We start from the raw sequence: 17,415 nt of genomic DNA, 5'->3' as shown, positions 1-17,415 counted from the left end.
GTTTGGGGCTTCCACCCTCTAAAGCCACAGCCTGAGCTGTACATTGGCCCCTTTCAGCCATGGTTAGAGCTGTTGGGACACAGGGCACCAAGTCCCTAGGCTGCACACAGCACGGGGACCCAGGACCCAGCCCATGAAACCACTTTTTCCTCCTGTTTCCTCTGGGCCTGTGATGGGAGGGGCTGCTGTGAAGGTCTCTGACATGACCTGGAGACAATCCCCATGGTCTTGGAGATTAACATTAGGCTCCTTGCTACTTATGCAAATTTCTGCAGCTGGCTTGAATTTCTCCCCAGAAAATGGGTTTTCCTTTTCTATCGCATAGTCAGGCTGCAAATTTTCCAAACATTTATCCTTTGCTTCCCTTATAAAACTGAATGTCTTTAACAGCACCCAAGTCACCTCTTGAACGCTTTGCTGCTTAGAAATTTTTTTCCACCAGATACCCTAAATCATCTCTTTCAAGTTCAAAGTTCCACAAATCTCTAGGGCAGGGGCAAAATGCTGCCAGTCTCTTTGCTAAACATAACAAGAGTCACCTTTGTTCCAGTTCCCAACAAGTTCCTCATCTGTGACCACCTCAGCATGGACCTTATTGTTCCTATCACTATCAGCATTTTTGTCAAAGCCATTCAACAAGTCTCTAGGAAGTTCCAAACTTTCCCACATTTTCCTGTCTTCTTCTGAGACCTCCAAACTGTTCCAACCACTGCCTGTTACCCAAAGTCACTTCCATATTTTCGGGTATTTTTTCAGCAATGCCCCACTCTACTGGTACCAATTTACTGTATTAGTCCTTTTTCATGCTACTGATAGAGACATACCAGAGACTGGTAAGAAAAAGAGGTTTGGTTGGATTTACAGTTCCACATGGTTGGGGAGGCCTCAGAATCAAGGTTAGGAGGTGAAAGGCACTTCTTATATGTCAGTGGCAAGAGAAAATGAGAGAGAAACAAAAGCAGGAACCCCTTATAAACCCATCAGATCTCGTGAGACTTATTCACTAACACAAGAATAGCACGGGAAAGACCAGCCCCTATGATTCAATTACATCCTGCTGGGTCCGTCCCACAACACGTGGAAATTTTGGGAGATACATTTCAAGTTGAGATTTGGGTGGGGACACAGTCAAACCATATCAATACCTTATAGCCAAGTCCCACCCTGAGTTATGTTGGGTTCTTGTGCATCAGATCATGCATCAGAGAGAATCATGCATTTCATGAGTGTTCCAGAAAAGTTGTTCAGAGTGTCTGTACAGAAAATTCCAGATTACAATGATCAAAAGCACCCTAAAAACAGAAAAGCACAAATCCTGTAAAATAAGTGTTTTAAATTACATTTTACAGGTGAGAAAAATGAGGCTCTCTGGAGTTACACAGCTGTTACTCAAATATATTTATGTGTTGTGGATTTGAACACAGGGTCTCTGATTCCAAATCTCCAAATTCTTCTGCACTATGTTGCCTCTTCATGAAGTGGCATTGGTATAGGAGTTAAGAAGCAATCACTTAGGCAGATAGTAAGAGTATGGGAGTCCTCAGTAAGGCTTTTCTTTTTAATGAAAAGCAGCCCCAGATAATTTTCTCACAAAGAACAGCCTGTAAAGTCGACCTGCAGACATATACAAGCAAGCCAGGAGCTTGCACGAATGAATGCCACCAGCAACTAGGGACTAGACATCCTCAAGATGGCGGCTCCATCTTCCCTTCTCTGTCAGCCACTTGCACAGTAAGGAGCAGATAAGATGGTGCAGGCCAAACAGAGAGTTCATTTGCATAATAAGATTAGGGTGGGTTGACCAACCTTCCCCACACACTATGTAAATGTCACACCTGATCAAACCAATCTGTGGACTCTATGTAAATCAGACACCATCATCTCAAGCTGGACTATAAAATCCGGCACATCTACTACCAGCCAGTCTTTGCACTCGGGAGACCCCTCTATAGAGAGAGAGCTGTTTTTCTTTCTCTTTTCTTCTGCCTATTAAACCTCTGCTCCTAAATTCCTTGTGTGCGTCCGTGTCCTAAATTTTCCTGGTGCCAGACTACCAACCCCTGGTATACACCCCAGACAGCATAGCCACTTCAGCATCTTAGGCTGCAGCATTCTGTGAGTTACTTCCATCTTTCAGACATGCCCCATGATCCAGAATTATCCTGCTACAAGTCTCAACATCTTCATTCAAAGAACCATCACTTTATAAATTAAGGAACAAACATTAGTGCTCCTGCAGTTAAACCCTCTCATTTTACTGATGAAAACACCACCACCACCAACAACAAGCTGAACCTCTAAGAGGTGCAGTGATTTCTCCATGAAAATGAGCTAATTCATAGCAGGATCAGGACTGAAGCCTATTTCCTGATTTCTAGTTCAGGGCTTTTTCTATTGATCCCAACATTTTTCTGTCCAATTATAAGGATCACTTAGGAAAATTTGTCACATAAGTTAATGTGATATATAAACCAAAAGAGAACTGCTGATGATTTCTGCTTGACAGACACTCACAGGAATCTCTGCAGTTGAGACAAGTCTTAGGAAAGACTGACAGGAGCCACTGGACTCAGAACTTTATCTTTTTCCCATCCTTCATTCCACTAAAGCAATAGTAAAAAAACATTTGAAAGCATAAACCCATGAGGACAAATAAAACAAAAGAGGAAACAATAGTGGACATGAGATTTTAATAAGTTTAGAAGATGGAAAGCAGACAGCTGGAAGAATTGCAAAAATGGAGTACTTTCGGAATTGGATATCCATGACAAGCACAGTCATTCATCAAAAAGCATCATAATGATTCAGGAATAGAGGCACTAGGGACCATAGAGCACTAGAGTAAGGGATGAGACATTTGATTAAAAGGCTCTAGGGGTAGTTAGACCCCCCACTCCCCACCTCTACTCTATGAAACCAGGTGAATGCCATCTTCCCAGCAGGGGACGATGGGCTTACTTATACTCTGGGGAAATTTGACCAGAGATCTTTTTAACTTAGAGAACAGGCGGGCATAATGAAACAGAGGAATTAGTTAAAAGTCTGAATGTTGAAAAGTGAAATCCCAAGCTCACTTCCCTTGACAGCCTTCCAGAATATCTGTGAAAAGCTTCCACCTCACCAATTCTCTCAGGCAGAAGCAGATTGTTTTCTGCAAAAACTGGGGACTTTCAGGGAAAAGACTTATAGATAATAATATGTTGGGGTCCCTCAAGGAAGAATCAGTTTTCCATCAGACCTCTCAATGAAGTCCGCTGTTTGGCAAGTCCCATCTCTGCACCCAGAGTTTTAAATCTGTATTTAAATGCTTCACTTTTAAATAAGAACAGTCAAGTGAGAACAGGTCTTACTGGAAATATGCAACATGGAAGACAGAAGAAAACAAATAGGAAAAAAAAACCTGACTTGCAAAAGATATACGGAAGACTAAGTACAGATATCTCTATGAAAAGCTTCTACAAACAAATATGAAAAGATAAAGCATTGTGTTTTGGAGCTCAGCCTCGTGGAGGAGCCAAGAACATGATATGGATTGGCAATTTGTAGAACACACATGTGAAAATGGCCAGCAAATGAAAGAATGTTCAATTTTCATAGTGATTGGGAAATGTTATTGAAGACACTAAAAATGCTTCTTACGGCTGAGATGGGAGGATTGTTTGAGTCCAGGAGTTCAAGATTGCAGTGAACACTTGCACACCTGCCACTGCACTCCATCCAGAGCAACAGAATGAGACCCCATCTCTTACATCAAAAACAAAATAAACTTCTTAACTGATGCATTTAAAAAAGATTTAGACTGGCAAAAATTTAATAGGATTGGTAATCTCCAATACTGACAGGGGTATGAGGAATTGCGATCCCAAATACACAAGGATATAAATACAAGGGTGCTCATGGATAACTAACTTGTTGTAATGGGGAAAAGTTGGAAAAAAACTTAATATTCATTGATAGGGGAAATAAGGTAGGTTAATTTTGTATGACATTATATAGCTGTTAAAAGAATAAAAAAGATATGTATGATTCATGGAGGAATGTCCACAATACATTACTGAATTAAAAAGTTATGTCAAAGAACTGTATTTATCGCATTATGACATTTTTTCAAAAGCAAAAACACTATTAAACAGTTTATATTTAAATACACACACACACACACACATTGTACACAGAGAGAAAAATGACTGGAGAATTAACAAATTATTAATAGTAGGATGGGAATGGTGGTCATGGGAAAGGCATTTGCTTTTCATTTTGTCCTCGAGTATTTTTTAACTTATTTTTTACAAGCATGTATTAATCATTTACTTTTAAACAATTCTTTTAAGTTTAATCCATGTGCACAACTATCAAATAGTGTTAGTGTATAGGTTAGAACAGTGCCTAGCTCAAAGTAGCAATCAATAGTTACTATCTGAACAAATGATTTCTGAAAATCATTACTGTCTGTAAATAATTCAAACTTCTGCTCAAAAAGCCATTGTAAAAACCTTTTACTAAGACATTTTCTTATAAAAATTGCTAGCTTAATCTGGTTTTCTTGTGGCTTGTAAAAGCACTTTAATTCAGAGTTTGGTAATACACACTTAACTGTGTTAGCAGCATCTTTAAAACCAAGAGACTAATAGGAGTGCGATAGCAAAAAAGCTTTAATTACTGCAGAACCAGTGGCAGGAGAAGGAAACTGTCAGTTTTCACACCTCAGTGAAGGCTGTGCGAGGGTCTTGCAGGTTCAGATGTACGTGGTCAAGTGATAAATGGCAGGCTCTGGATTCGGTTGTGGTCTGAGCTCAGCATTGGGGCAGGAAACAAACAGTGCCTTCAGCACTTGTCTGACACCATCCCTGGCAGGAGACAAGTCCAGAAAGAGCTATGCACAGTCAATGATTTTCCTTTTCAGCCCTGTCTATCCTACAGCAGCTGGAGTAGCTGCTCTAGGAGGCTGTAATTGATAGCTTTGATTTACCGAAGAAAAATAACTGGGCAGTTATGTAGTCCAGGGACAAGCCCTTCTGAATGTGAAAACGGTGCCCTCTCAGTAACAAGGGACTGTTATTGATCTTTACACTGTCATTTCTGCTGTGAACCAACCTCGACCAAGTATGGGCTTCCCTCTGTGTATTCCTGTCCCTGATTTAGTCCCAGAACATTTTGGAAACTTACCAGGTCTGCATATCAGCTTAATATGTCCACCACATGCACTCTCTCTTTCATGGCCTCCCTTATGGACTGTGATTCCATTTGTGTTGTATGATTTTGCAATTGTGATTTGTTGTTTTGTATTGTTTTCAAGTTGTGTCAAGCACGCACATGTAGTTTCCCACCTTAGAAACAATTTGACAGAGGAAAGAAAGAAACTGTATTAAAGACAAGCAAAATGTTTCCTTTCTAAAACTCTTTTCACTGAATAACTGCCACTTCTCAGGAGTGTGAGTTTTGTTTTCATTTGTGTTTGTGAAGTAGAGAAAATATATTTGAAGGCACAGGCAAAGGAACTTGCCACGACCTTCAATTTTTTGAAAATCGTGTAATTTACATTAAATTTCTTAAAATTTTGCATTCTTTTCTATTATCTGTGTTTTTATTTGAATACAAAATTAATAATTAAAATTATTTAATGCAGAACTAAATAGGTCCTCCAGGAAGAGGGAGATTTCTCTTCTGTGGCTTCTGATTTTATGACCAGGCAGTACTGAGACAGCCAGGTGGGAGGGGGTCCTCAGAGAAACTCCAGCCAGCTTGCCCACTGAGGTGGAGCCTTATGAAGTTTACGATGTTTGTAGTAGGGAGGAGTCTGGCTCCTCCTCTTCCTGTGTGGAGCCTGGGATTTGAACAGTGGGTGTGAAGTGCTCTAGAAGGGACTCTGACCTAGCAAGAGTCCCTGTTTCCCCCTTTTCTTCCTCTTCACCCAATAAAACCCTGTCTCACTCATCATTCAAATTGTCTGTGAGCCTGAATTTTCATGGCTGTGGGACAAAGCACCCCATCTTTAACTGAATTAAGGAAAAGTCCTGCAACAGTGTGACCTAGAATGTGCACAATCCTGGAGATCTGGAGAAGCCAACAACATCCCTAATAGGAAAGCATTAACATGTTCATTTTAGTAACAAACAGAACCCCAGGAGTATTTCCCGAGTTCATGGACTAACACCTAACTCCAGATACAGCCATTCCCACAAGACCATGCTATGGAAATTCTCTTCTATTAATTTTGTTTCTTCTCTTTCATCCCTCTTAGCTTTACATTAAATAGAGTGTTTTTTTATATTAAGTATAACATGTGTTTAAAAATTATTAAATGGTAAGTTCTCTGGTAACTTATTTATTTTTTAAGAGCAGAGAAAGGGGTAGGATAAAGCAAAGGCTTTATCAAAAACCCTATACAAAATTTTGGAAGTGTGTAGTTACAGACCCCATACTGGGGCTGCATTCTTTCTCGCTGACATTTTTGGCAGAGTGACTGAGTGGCAAATCACCAGATCCAAGTTCTAACTTGTAATGCTACCAAATAATTTCCTGTGCATGGGGGAGTCATAAACTCTCTTATACCCTTCTATCACACATATTATTGAGGAAGTGAGGGCTGAAATCAGTGATCTTTGAGGTCTCCACACTGTTGTTTTACTCCAGTGGAAGATTCAATAGAGGATGGAGAAAATTCACACCCCCTAGCCTGGCCTTTTCATAATATTGCTTGGGCTGATTCAAGGGACAGTGCACTTTTTTTCAGCTAATGTTTTTACTTCACAGTAACACTATGATATGTATTCCATATTTTATTTTCTTCTTTCAATTTGTCTTGATGTCTACTGTTCTACTATAACTGTTTAAATGGAGAACAAGATTAGTTCATCTTTCATGAAGCTTCCAAATATGCTGGCGGGCCCATGTCTACTCTTTGGCTCCAGCTTCCCTCGACTGTCAGCTGCTCTGGCCATGCAGCAATCGTCATTCCCAGCTGCAGCAAGAGACCCAGTGGAGTGCTGGCCTGGCTCAGATGCAACCTACAGTGTTATTTTTATAATCTGGAAGTCCTAGGCAAAGAAAGCAACTCTTCTTCCGTCAGCTATTAGCTATTCCCTACTGTCCAAGATCCTGTGGTTCTTCAATGACTCAGAAGGCAGCAAAGTCTAATCTCTTGACCTTGCTATTCAGCTTCCTTCACTGTAGAGAAGGTGATTACAAAGGACCAACCATTTAATTAGCTTCTGGGGCCTACAGCTTGCAGTTTTACATTTCTCTTTCTCGTGATTGAATATTTTATTTAGTACTCTTTGGTAGAGCAAACACTGAGCCACTGCTAGCATTTCCTGGTGAATGATATGGGATTGGCTATCAAGACTTATTTATTTTAGAAGAAGGAGGTAAAAACTAATTGAAGTTTATCTGTTTTTACAAATGCAGAAAATTTCTAGGAAGCATTAGTAAGCTATCCAGTTCTATGCATTTTAGGTTTGGGTGCAAACTATTGAATTGTAATAATTAATTAGGCTCAGGAACAGCCATCTTTGGTTATGCTTTCTAAATCCTTTGGCTAAACTCTCTTAATCAATATTCACTTAAAAGTGTGGTGTGCTCCTCGACTCCATCCTTTCCCTTTCCCTAGCAATGTCCAATTATTTCAGGTGGAGGTAACTTTATTTTTCTAAATATCTTTAGTGTAAGTTTGCTTATAAATTCATCAAATATTTATTTAACAGTTACGGCAAGATATTTGAACATCTTATCAAAAAAGATCAATCAAATATAAATAAGAATATGAAAAGATGTTTAACATGACTAGTCTTCAGGGAAATGCAGACTAAAACCATAATGAGGTACTGCTGGATACCTATTATGCAAACTAAAACCATAATGAGGTACTGCTGGATACCTATTATGCAAACTAAAACCATAATGAGGTACTACTGGATACCTATTGGAATAACTTTAAAAAATGACAATCTCAAGTACATGAAAGGATGCAGAGTAACTTAAACTCTAATACATTGCTTTTGGAAAACAGTTTCCAGTAACTTATTAACTTATTAAGTTAATCATATGCTGATAATTGACTTATTAAGTTAATCATATGCTGATAATATGACCCAGTGCTTCTATTCTTAGGTATTTGCCCAAATGAAATAAAAATTATTTTGGAACAAACATATGGATGATTTATTTTCCATCAAACTAGAAACAACTCTAATATCTTTCCACTGGGGCCTGGATAAATGCTGGTATATTTGTACCACGGAATATTACTAAGGAAAAAACAGAAATGTACCACAGTACTGATACAACCACAATAAGGATGAACTTCAAACACACTATGATAAATGAAAGAAGCCAGACTCGAAAGGTTACATACTGTGTGTATGTGGTTGCCAGGGGCTGGAGTTGTGAGATTGACTATGAAAGGGCAACATGAAGAAATTTAGGGGGTGATGGAACTGTTCTATATCTTGATGGTGGTAGTGGTTACATTATGATATACAATTTTCAAAATTCACAAACAAGGTGAATTTTATTGTATGTAAATTACTCTTTAACAATAAAAGCAAAAATTATTGAACACCTGCTATGTGCTGTTGTTCCAGAAGTGAAAAGACAGACCAGGTTCTTGCTTCCTAGATCTTATATCCTTGTTCTGTGTTCACTCTTCTGTGTCCACAGTCAGCACTAAAGTCTATGTTCTTTTCGTCTTTTGCCTGCTCTAACCTTCTAAATTGATCCCCTTGTCTCCCAACTCTCCTCTTCTCCAATCCATTTTCAATAATGCTACCAAATGAATCTTTTTATGATGTCAACTTGATTATGCATCTTCCATGTGGCAGTGGATAGTTTCTATGATTTGTAGCCTTTTAGCTTCTTTGAAATACCTTTTCTGTGCTTGGAATTTCTCACATCAGGGTTTCCTAGATAGAAGCTAGAAATTCACTTTCCAGTCTCCCTTGCAGCTATGGTGCTGGCATACGACCTGGGCCAATCAGAAGAATATAAGCATGACTATGATTAGACAAAAAGCAATGGGAGGAAGGAGGTGCTGTGTGGAATTCATTTCTGTTGAGGGTGACAGGAATGGCTTTCTTAGAGTACTGGGGGAGGTTTTGCTGCCTAGTGCCCAGGGTCTTGATGTGACCGCTAGAGTATGTGCTCAGTGGTCTTTGCTGGAGTCTCTAAGTCTGGACTCACAGTCTCTGCCAGAGTGTCTCTGAACTACTTAATATTCTTTAATAAATTCTTCTTTTTCTCCTTAAGCTAGAGTGGTTACTGTTTTTCACTTACTTTGCCTCTGAATCTCAATAGATACACCTATGTATAAGCCTTCAAAGACTTCCCATCACCTTAGGAAAAAAATCAGTACTTTTAACTATGGCATCTAAGGCCTTCAACATAGAGTTCATACATACTTTCCAGTTTAAACTGTTCTCAATGTGCTCTATGTTTTAGTCACCCTAAACTTGCTGTTTGTCCAACACTTCATTCTCATTTATACCTTCATGCCTTTGCAGATGATGTTCCCTTTGTTTAGTATAAGTTTTCCTTTTTTCTCACCACTTTGTAACCCTCTCTTCATGTTGCCCTTATTTACCCTTCAATTCCATTCAAAATCTATCTCAAATACCACGAGCTCAAATGCCCTTTGTGAAGCCTTCCTTGATATCCTTAACATGGTCCCAGCGCCCAAGAGCTGTTTGCTTCCTCCTGTATCTGAGAACTTCTTGTATTGTATTATGATGTTTTGTTCATTTAGTCATTCATTCAATAATAATTATTGAGCAAATACCATGTGCCAGGCACAGAGCTAAAATCTGAATGATAAGTAGGAGTTAATTAGGTAAAAATGGAGTAGAGTGTGTTCCCACAGAGATCAGCATGGAAAGTGGGCAGGCAGCTCATGAAGAGTGTGAGCCTCCAAGTGAGGGCAAGTGTAGTGGCCAGGGCTGAGGAGCAGGTGTGCCCCCTTCAGTCTTCTGCAAGTCCTTTGAGGCAGGAGCCCAGTTTTACTCACCTTTGTGCCTCTAGTGAAGCCAATCAGGCATGGAGTTGACATTCAATGAAGGGTTATTGAATTAATAAATAAATCACCAGATCATGTCTCTCCCTAAAACATTTATTTGATGCTTGAACCAGAGGAGATAATTTAGGCTTAATTTCCTGTGCATCAAATCATTGTCAGGACATAAGTATTACCTTTAATTAGCAAGCAAAGTCTCCCACTTCCTCACACTAATAATCCAGTGTTGCATTGATGTAATAGTGGCAGACCAACTTCAAAAGTGTTTTCTTGGATAATTGTTTGGGTGTCATCGGTTTACTTATCTTTAAAAGCCTATTAACACAGCAGATATCTCCAATCTGCTTTTTCATGTGATTCTGTCATCATAGCAACCTCACAAATCAACTCTCTGATGTGTCTTAACATTATAGCTTGGGCAAAATGAGGGAAAATAATTTTCTGATCATTACACAGAAAACCAGTGTCACAATAAGAGCCATTTCTTCCCAGACCTTTCTTTCATGGCCAAGGGTCATCTTTTAATAAAAGAGGTATTAAGTGAGGCAAGAGCTGCATGTTTAAATCAATCTGTGTGCAGTAAGTGTCGATACCTCCTTTAGCCCTATATCCATGGGATACAGAACAGCCACTTCCTGGCGAGGGTGAAACTGGAGGCACCAAGCTTCAATGTCATCCACAGGGCTTGGAATGTAAATACATGTCATTGCTGCTTTGGATAGTTTTGAAACCCTCTCCTACCATCAGATAGCAATGTCTTTCCTTTGATTTGGTACCAAAATTAAGCTGAATTTTAATCACCTCCTTAATGCTTAACTTCACAGAGAAACAGACTGAGTATTAGGGATATCTTTCTGATGTTTTCAATGAACCAGAGGCACAGACTTTGCTGTCATCTTCAGCCAAGGACAAATTGTAATTGGCAAGGCTGGCAAATTGCTTCTTCTTATTGGAAACTGCCATTGGCACATTAGATTGAAAATAAGATCCTTCCTGTATGGAGGTGATGTGGTTCTTTACCATGCAGCTGTAAGTGAAAAGTTGTTTTTCTAAACTAATGTTTATAGAGGTAATTCAGTTTGTGATACTAAGGGATATAAATTTGGGATATTACTGAGAATGATTCAGCTTTCATTTTTTACTTGAACTCCTGCAGTTGCCCTTTTTTCTTCCTCCTTAAACGTGTGATGGTACATCCGTCTTGTTAGGAACATGCTCAGAGGATAAAAATGAGCAGTCTTCCTTAAGAGGAAAGTGAGAATTGAAAGGCGGAATATGCCATCATCACAAACATTGCACCCAGATGACAGACATGGGACTTCATACTGACACCATTAATCATGATGGGGCCCTGTGGCTGTCTGCTACACAGCTCTCAGCTAGACTTACTTTGATATGTCTAAGAGGCTCATTTTTGGATGTTAAAGGTGGTTGGCTCTGTGCTCTGTTTTAGTGGAGACTCGGGGCAATGGGAGTCTCTTTCCTAGCCCGAATACAAGGCACCCACACTATTTTCTAATTAATAAGCAAGGTATTAACAAGTTTCTGAAACAGAATATAAAATGTTCTTCAGGTGCAATCAGCATTGTACTCACTCATAGCTAAATAAATAAATAAATAAAGGGCTAACTTCATAAGACAGAGATGGTAAAACTTGAGAATCTATTTTTTATAGTCCTATTGATCCTTTCAGAACTCCTTACTGTCTTTTACATCTGTACCAGAGAAAAGCTTTATAAACAGCCATTGTGATACAGCAGAAACAGTAAAATTTGGAAGCAGTTGGCTGTGCAAATCAGGCTCTACTAAGATGAGACAAAATTGTGTGGTTAATGGACTTTTGCCATGGCACTTGGTGTTCATCAAAATCTAAGGAAAATTTTGTCCTCAAAGGAAATATGAAAAGTTAAAGTCAGCATTCAGATGTCCTAATAGTGCCACCCTAAGATCTTGGGTTCCAGTTTCTTTAACTATGTCCTCCTAATCAGTGGGCTTTGAAGTCAGCATGCTGGGCTTTCCATCAGGGCCTCACCACTTACTGTTATGTAGCTTTCAGCAAGTTATTTGACCTCAATTGCTTTATCTCTAAAATGGGGATAATAGCAGTATGGTATGGTTTGGCTCTGTGTCCCCACCCAAATGTCATCTTGTAGCTCCCATAATTCCCATGTGTTGTGGGAGGGACGCAGTGAGGGATGACTGAATTATGTGGGTGGGTCTTTCCTATACTGTTCTTGTGCTAGTCAATGGGTCTCATGAGATCTGATAGTTTTAAAAAACGGGAGTTGCTCTGCACAAACTCTCTCTTTGCCTGCAGCTATCCATATAAGATGTGACTTGCTCCTCCTTGCCCTCCAACGTGCTTGTGAGGCCTCTCCAGCCATGTGAAACTGTAAGTCCGATTAAACCTCTTTCTTTTGTAAATTGCCCAGTTTCGAGTATGTCTTTATTGGTAGCATGAAAATGGGCTAATACACAGTATCTACCTCATTTTTGTGAGGATGAAATAATACCTGCTAAATACTTAACACACAGTGCCTGGCTTATGATGAGGACTCAATAATAGTGACTATTTTCTTGATCTTGTAATATCTGTACAAGTAGAAAATTCATGCCTCTAAACTCCAGTCCTATAGCTAGGATTTGGTTTAATGGTCAGTCTTCCTGATGTCAAGAGTTACCTACCTGATGTTCCTGAAGTGTTTTGGGGTATCAGGTGGTAAGTGGACTCACTGCCTGTCACTCTAATTGAATGGTATCTATAGGCCAAGGGAGCCTGAAAAAGCACTCAGGAATTAACTCACTGTGAGACAAATGCTTTGTGTGTATATGTGTATGAGGAGGAAGCAAGTGTGGGATTAAATTCCTGAAAGATGTGAAATTGCATGGTTAATAACTTTGGGCATCTTTGTGGTCAGGTATTGATTATTTTAGTCAAAGGCAAAGCATTATTGAAAGAATCATCCAAAGTATGAAATTGTGAGTCTTTGAGGGGATATGCGGAGATACTAATACCAATTCAATAAATACAGAAAGCGTTGAAGGTTGATCTGTGTGATCTGCTCATGAATTACATAAGCATTTACTGTAGATATCAGCCTGAATGGAGCACTGTAATTATTTGCTAACATGGCTGATTAATGATGAGCTCCTTGAGAGAAGGAACATAGCTTATTTGCTTTTGAATTCCTGATGTTGGCCTAGTACCTGGCACATAGTAGGTGCTCGATAAATGTTGGCCAAATGAATGAAAGAGTGAATAAATGAGGCCTGAGAGAAAAATTTCTTTACAAGTCAGATGGGGGCTGCATGGTGTAAAGTTTTGTTTTATTCTTGGGTGAACTCATCCTCCCTTCCCTACCCTTGAGGAATCCAGATCAAAGTAAGGCTTTCTGTCTTTGATGTTTCTATTCTCTTGGGAAGCTATCAACTTTTATATTCTGAGCAGAGATAATCTTCTGATTTGGAAGTAAGTCATATAAGAAACCTGGAAATGGAATAAATTTATACAAAAGTCTGGAATACCATTATATCATTGCTAGTTATACCTTATCCAGTATTGTGGGTGAGATCGTGTTTCATTCTGGTAGTGATTAATCCACTGAGTCAAAGATTGGAATACTTACTACAAACGGTATGGCTGGATCCCTCTGTCATTCTTTAGAGCCATCAACTCATTTTTAAGTAAATAATCATTATTAGCATGGATGTGTAAGATTAAGTGAGTATATGGAAGTGCCTGAATTTCAGAATTAATGGAACAGAATTTCTTCAAGAAAGAAATTATAGGCAGGATGCCAATACTTGTGAGCAACAGTTAAAGAAGTGGAAGCACTTTTTGCTATTGATGAGGTGATTCTGGACAGTGAATCAGTGGTTCTTCCATGTTACGTTGTCGAGGAGACAGTTATAGACATATTTTTCTACATAAACATCTTAAATTGCCTGAATCTTTCTTTTTAATGTTGAAACAATTATGCTAATGAACCAATCTGAAATTGCACAGAACTTTCTGACTCTCAGAAAGTTTCCATGTCTTCTAGAAATGTAGGTACTTCAGGAACTCTGTGCTAGGTCTGAGATCATAATGAGAGCCACTTCCAATAGAGTGTGCTGATACAGATCGCAGAGGTACAATTAGGATTTACAAACGCATAATTGTATAAAAAGTCAGGGGCAATGAGCTGGAAAATTTTCCATGTATTTCTCCTTGTGAGATCATGTAGCTTTCTTAGTTCTTTTCGAGATTAAGTTAAAACTTAATGACAACCTTAACTTATTGGAACTGGTATAATAATTCAGAGATCAAGAGCAAGGGGTATTTTTAAAGGATTATGATTACATTCAAAACCTGTAATTTTCTACCTCTCTTTTTGTGGTAATGAAAAATTATAATCCTGAAACACTGTTGGAGAGGTAAGGCCTGTCTGGATACACCTGTGCTTCACAATTTGAACTGTTCTCTCACCTGCAAAAGGAGATTAGCTAGATGATTAGCTAATATCCTTAGGTCTAACATCCTAAGGATGCAGGATTTTATGTCCCGTGAAGTTTCATTTCTGGGAATATCCAAAGAACAGATGCTCACAACAAGAAAAACATGCATTGGCGTGATGGTGATATATTCACCTGCATAGGACCAAGAAGTCTTTAATTAAAGGATTGATTGATTTAGAATAAGACAATATTCTTTCATTAGGTGAGTTCTTTTTGTTGTCTCTGGTGTTCCTAATAGTATATTGGCAATTGTGCTGGGCAAGTAATGCTGACACAGTCAATGTTTCCTTCAAACATGTCAAAGGAAAGTGCCTTGAAGCTCTTCTCTCTTTTTCCACACTCAAGCTCCTGCCATCTCTATCCCTACTATGTCGTTTCCTGATTGACTTTTCCAGAAACCAGAGCCTCCCATTCCAGCATTATAGACCTATTCTTCACCATGAGTATATTGTAACTTTTATAGCTCAAGTCCATTCATTTTAAATCACAAAGTTGTAAAACCCAAAGGTTGGAGGTTAATAGAGAGATCATCTGTAGTAATACCTTAATTCTTTGAGGGTTCCTGTTTAATCATGGCATGTGGATCAGGGATCCAGATGCAGATGCCTCCCCAGCTGAACTAGCAAATACTCCAACCCCAGCTCTCTCTTCAGACTGGGCCTATGCAGCCAACCAGAGAATTGGCCTAGATATTGTGTAGATAGGTGAATCTCTCCCACAGAGTCAGAGGGGACTGCAGCTCTTGGGGACCCATCTTGTATCCCCTTCTCAGAGAAGAATACAAAATTAGGCTGGAACAGGAAGAAGGAAGTCTACTGAGTTATCACCTGAGAACTTCAGTCAAGCCTTGGGAAGAAGGTAGACTTGAGCTACACAGAAATCTGCATTAAAAATTATCCAAAATGGCTCTCCTGTGCAAATAAGCCATTCAGTTGTTTAATAAGACATTTTAGACAAGAAGATAATGGATAAAATATAGATATTACTGCCCCAAGGTATTGATTGTACTTAAAATGACAAAGCCTAAAAATTTAGTGACAGTATCCTATGAAGAGGAAATATAAACCCTGAGTATCTTTTTAGAAGATAGAAATAAAGCATGCTATTTTCAGTTGTAGACTCTTGGTTATGATTTCCTGAATAGTAGATAACATATAGCCAGAATGTGTTGGCAAGCTTTCCTAAGTGAGGCAATATGTACATATAGTTTTAATGTGTTTGAACATAAACACAAGTATACAGAAGATGGAAAAAGAAAATAGAGCAGGCACCACTTCTAGCCATGTTTTCCTTTTCTTGCTGCAAAGAAAAATAACGTTATTTTATAAAATAAAACAGAATCTAATTATGCATATAATTTTTTTATAAAGTAGTAAAATGCAATATTTATAATGATGATGAAGATATACATGTCAAAGTGTAGTCAAACATGACAGCCATTAAACGCCTGGCTGGAGAAAGATCATTAATTACACAGGACATTAGATGCAGTTGAATTGAGAAGGATTATTGGCCAAGTCAACAAAATTATTTTCGAGGCTAGATTCATGTTATTATACCCATGAATAGAATCAGGGTGTACATTTTCAGCCACATTCAGATTTTAGGCACCACCAGGCTCAGACCTTCCCTCCTGGGCCCATGATCACTGGCTTTGCCTTTTTAGAGGGACATTCTCATGGTCACTGAGGCTTTTGGGAGTGTGAACTGTCAAAATGGTTACTGATGCTTAAAAACAAAGAGCTCCCAGAGGCTTGTTAAGTAGGAGAGCTGATAGCGTAGGAACAAGAAAAATGAAAAAGCAAGGGTAGATAGAGGGCAGGAAGGGCCCCAATTTTTTATCTTGGGCTCTAGGGCAGGACTTCCCTTTCTTGGAAATGATTGGCAAGAACAAAGCAATCTTCCAGTCCTAGGAGCTCTAGAAGAATGATAGGCTGAGTGAGTACTAGCGGGCCAAGAGTAATAATATTATTAACTAAAATGTATTGCATGCTTATTCTATGCTAAGCACTGTATACATAACTCATCTAATCTTCAAAATGATGTGATAAAGTAAATATTAGTATTTTACCTATTTTACATATCAGGCCCTGAGAGGTTAGGTGACTTGCTCAAGGTTGCACAGTTAGGAAGTAAACTTCGGGTGACTCACCATCTCCGTTTGCCTGTGACTGAGGAATTTCATGGGATCCTGGACTTTTTGGTGCTGAAACCGGGACAATCCTAGGCAAACCAGGATGGTTGGTCACCCTAAAAGTGATGGTACTGGGACTCAAACTCAGAGCCAGAGATATTAATCCTCATGCTAGTTGTTGCCTTCCCAAGGCATGGATTCAAGTTCAGCACAACAAAGCAATGGGTCCAAATGACAAGAGCCTGGGACGGACAGGGGCTTGTCTAAGGTTCAACTACAATGTTGCACAGAACAACCAGCCGTAAGCTTAATATTGAATCACCTTCTAAATAAGGGAAGAATGGCCCCAGAGCTTCAGAAGGCAAAGGGCTGAGTTTGTAGGTCTGGGTCAAGAAACTACAGCTATAGAGGAGGCTCCTGAGAGCAGAAATTCCTGCTGGTGTGATTGGGAAATCAGGAACATCTGGAAGCAACAGTAATATTAATGCTTATGATTTACACCAAACATTACTTTGAAACTTATACAATACTAGATAACAATAATAATAGATGATGATAAAAACCAGTGGATATTGAAATGCCCTTTTGCAGGGTTCTATAGCCTGGGAGTTGCCCTGGTGGGCGGCCCTATTGTGCTCAAAAACCCAGGAGACAGGAGCTGCTGGGTTGATGTTTATTAGGTCCAGTGTGACGGTCCAGCACCCTTAGCTGCTGTAGAATAGAGCCTGGACAGGAGACAGTCCCAGAGTTTGTTTTATATCCATTCTTGAACTCTTTTTAC

The 17,415-nt window shown here is 39.2% G+C and overlaps 1 long non-coding RNA gene across 1 annotated transcript in view; it reads right to left on the bottom strand.

The window, feature by feature from the left end:
• Nucleotides 1-4,635: 4,635 nt before the first annotated feature.
• Nucleotides 4,636-17,415, bottom strand: part of LINC01014 (long intergenic non-protein coding RNA 1014) — a 38,105-nt gene continuing 25,325 nt past the window's right edge. The window contains exons 2-3 of the long non-coding RNA NR_046786.1: nucleotides 5,167-5,327; nucleotides 4,636-4,847 (exon numbers count right to left, since the gene is read on the bottom strand). This is a non-coding gene — a long non-coding RNA (long intergenic non-protein coding RNA 1014). The remainder of the gene's footprint in view (nucleotides 4,848-5,166; nucleotides 5,328-17,415) is intronic.

The sequence above is a fragment of the Homo sapiens genome, chromosome 3, assembly GCF_000001405.40.
Source record: "Homo sapiens chromosome 3, GRCh38.p14 Primary Assembly".
Lineage (NCBI taxonomy): Eukaryota > Metazoa > Chordata > Mammalia > Primates > Hominidae > Homo > Homo sapiens.
This window is presented reverse-complemented; position numbering and strand designations above follow the sequence as displayed.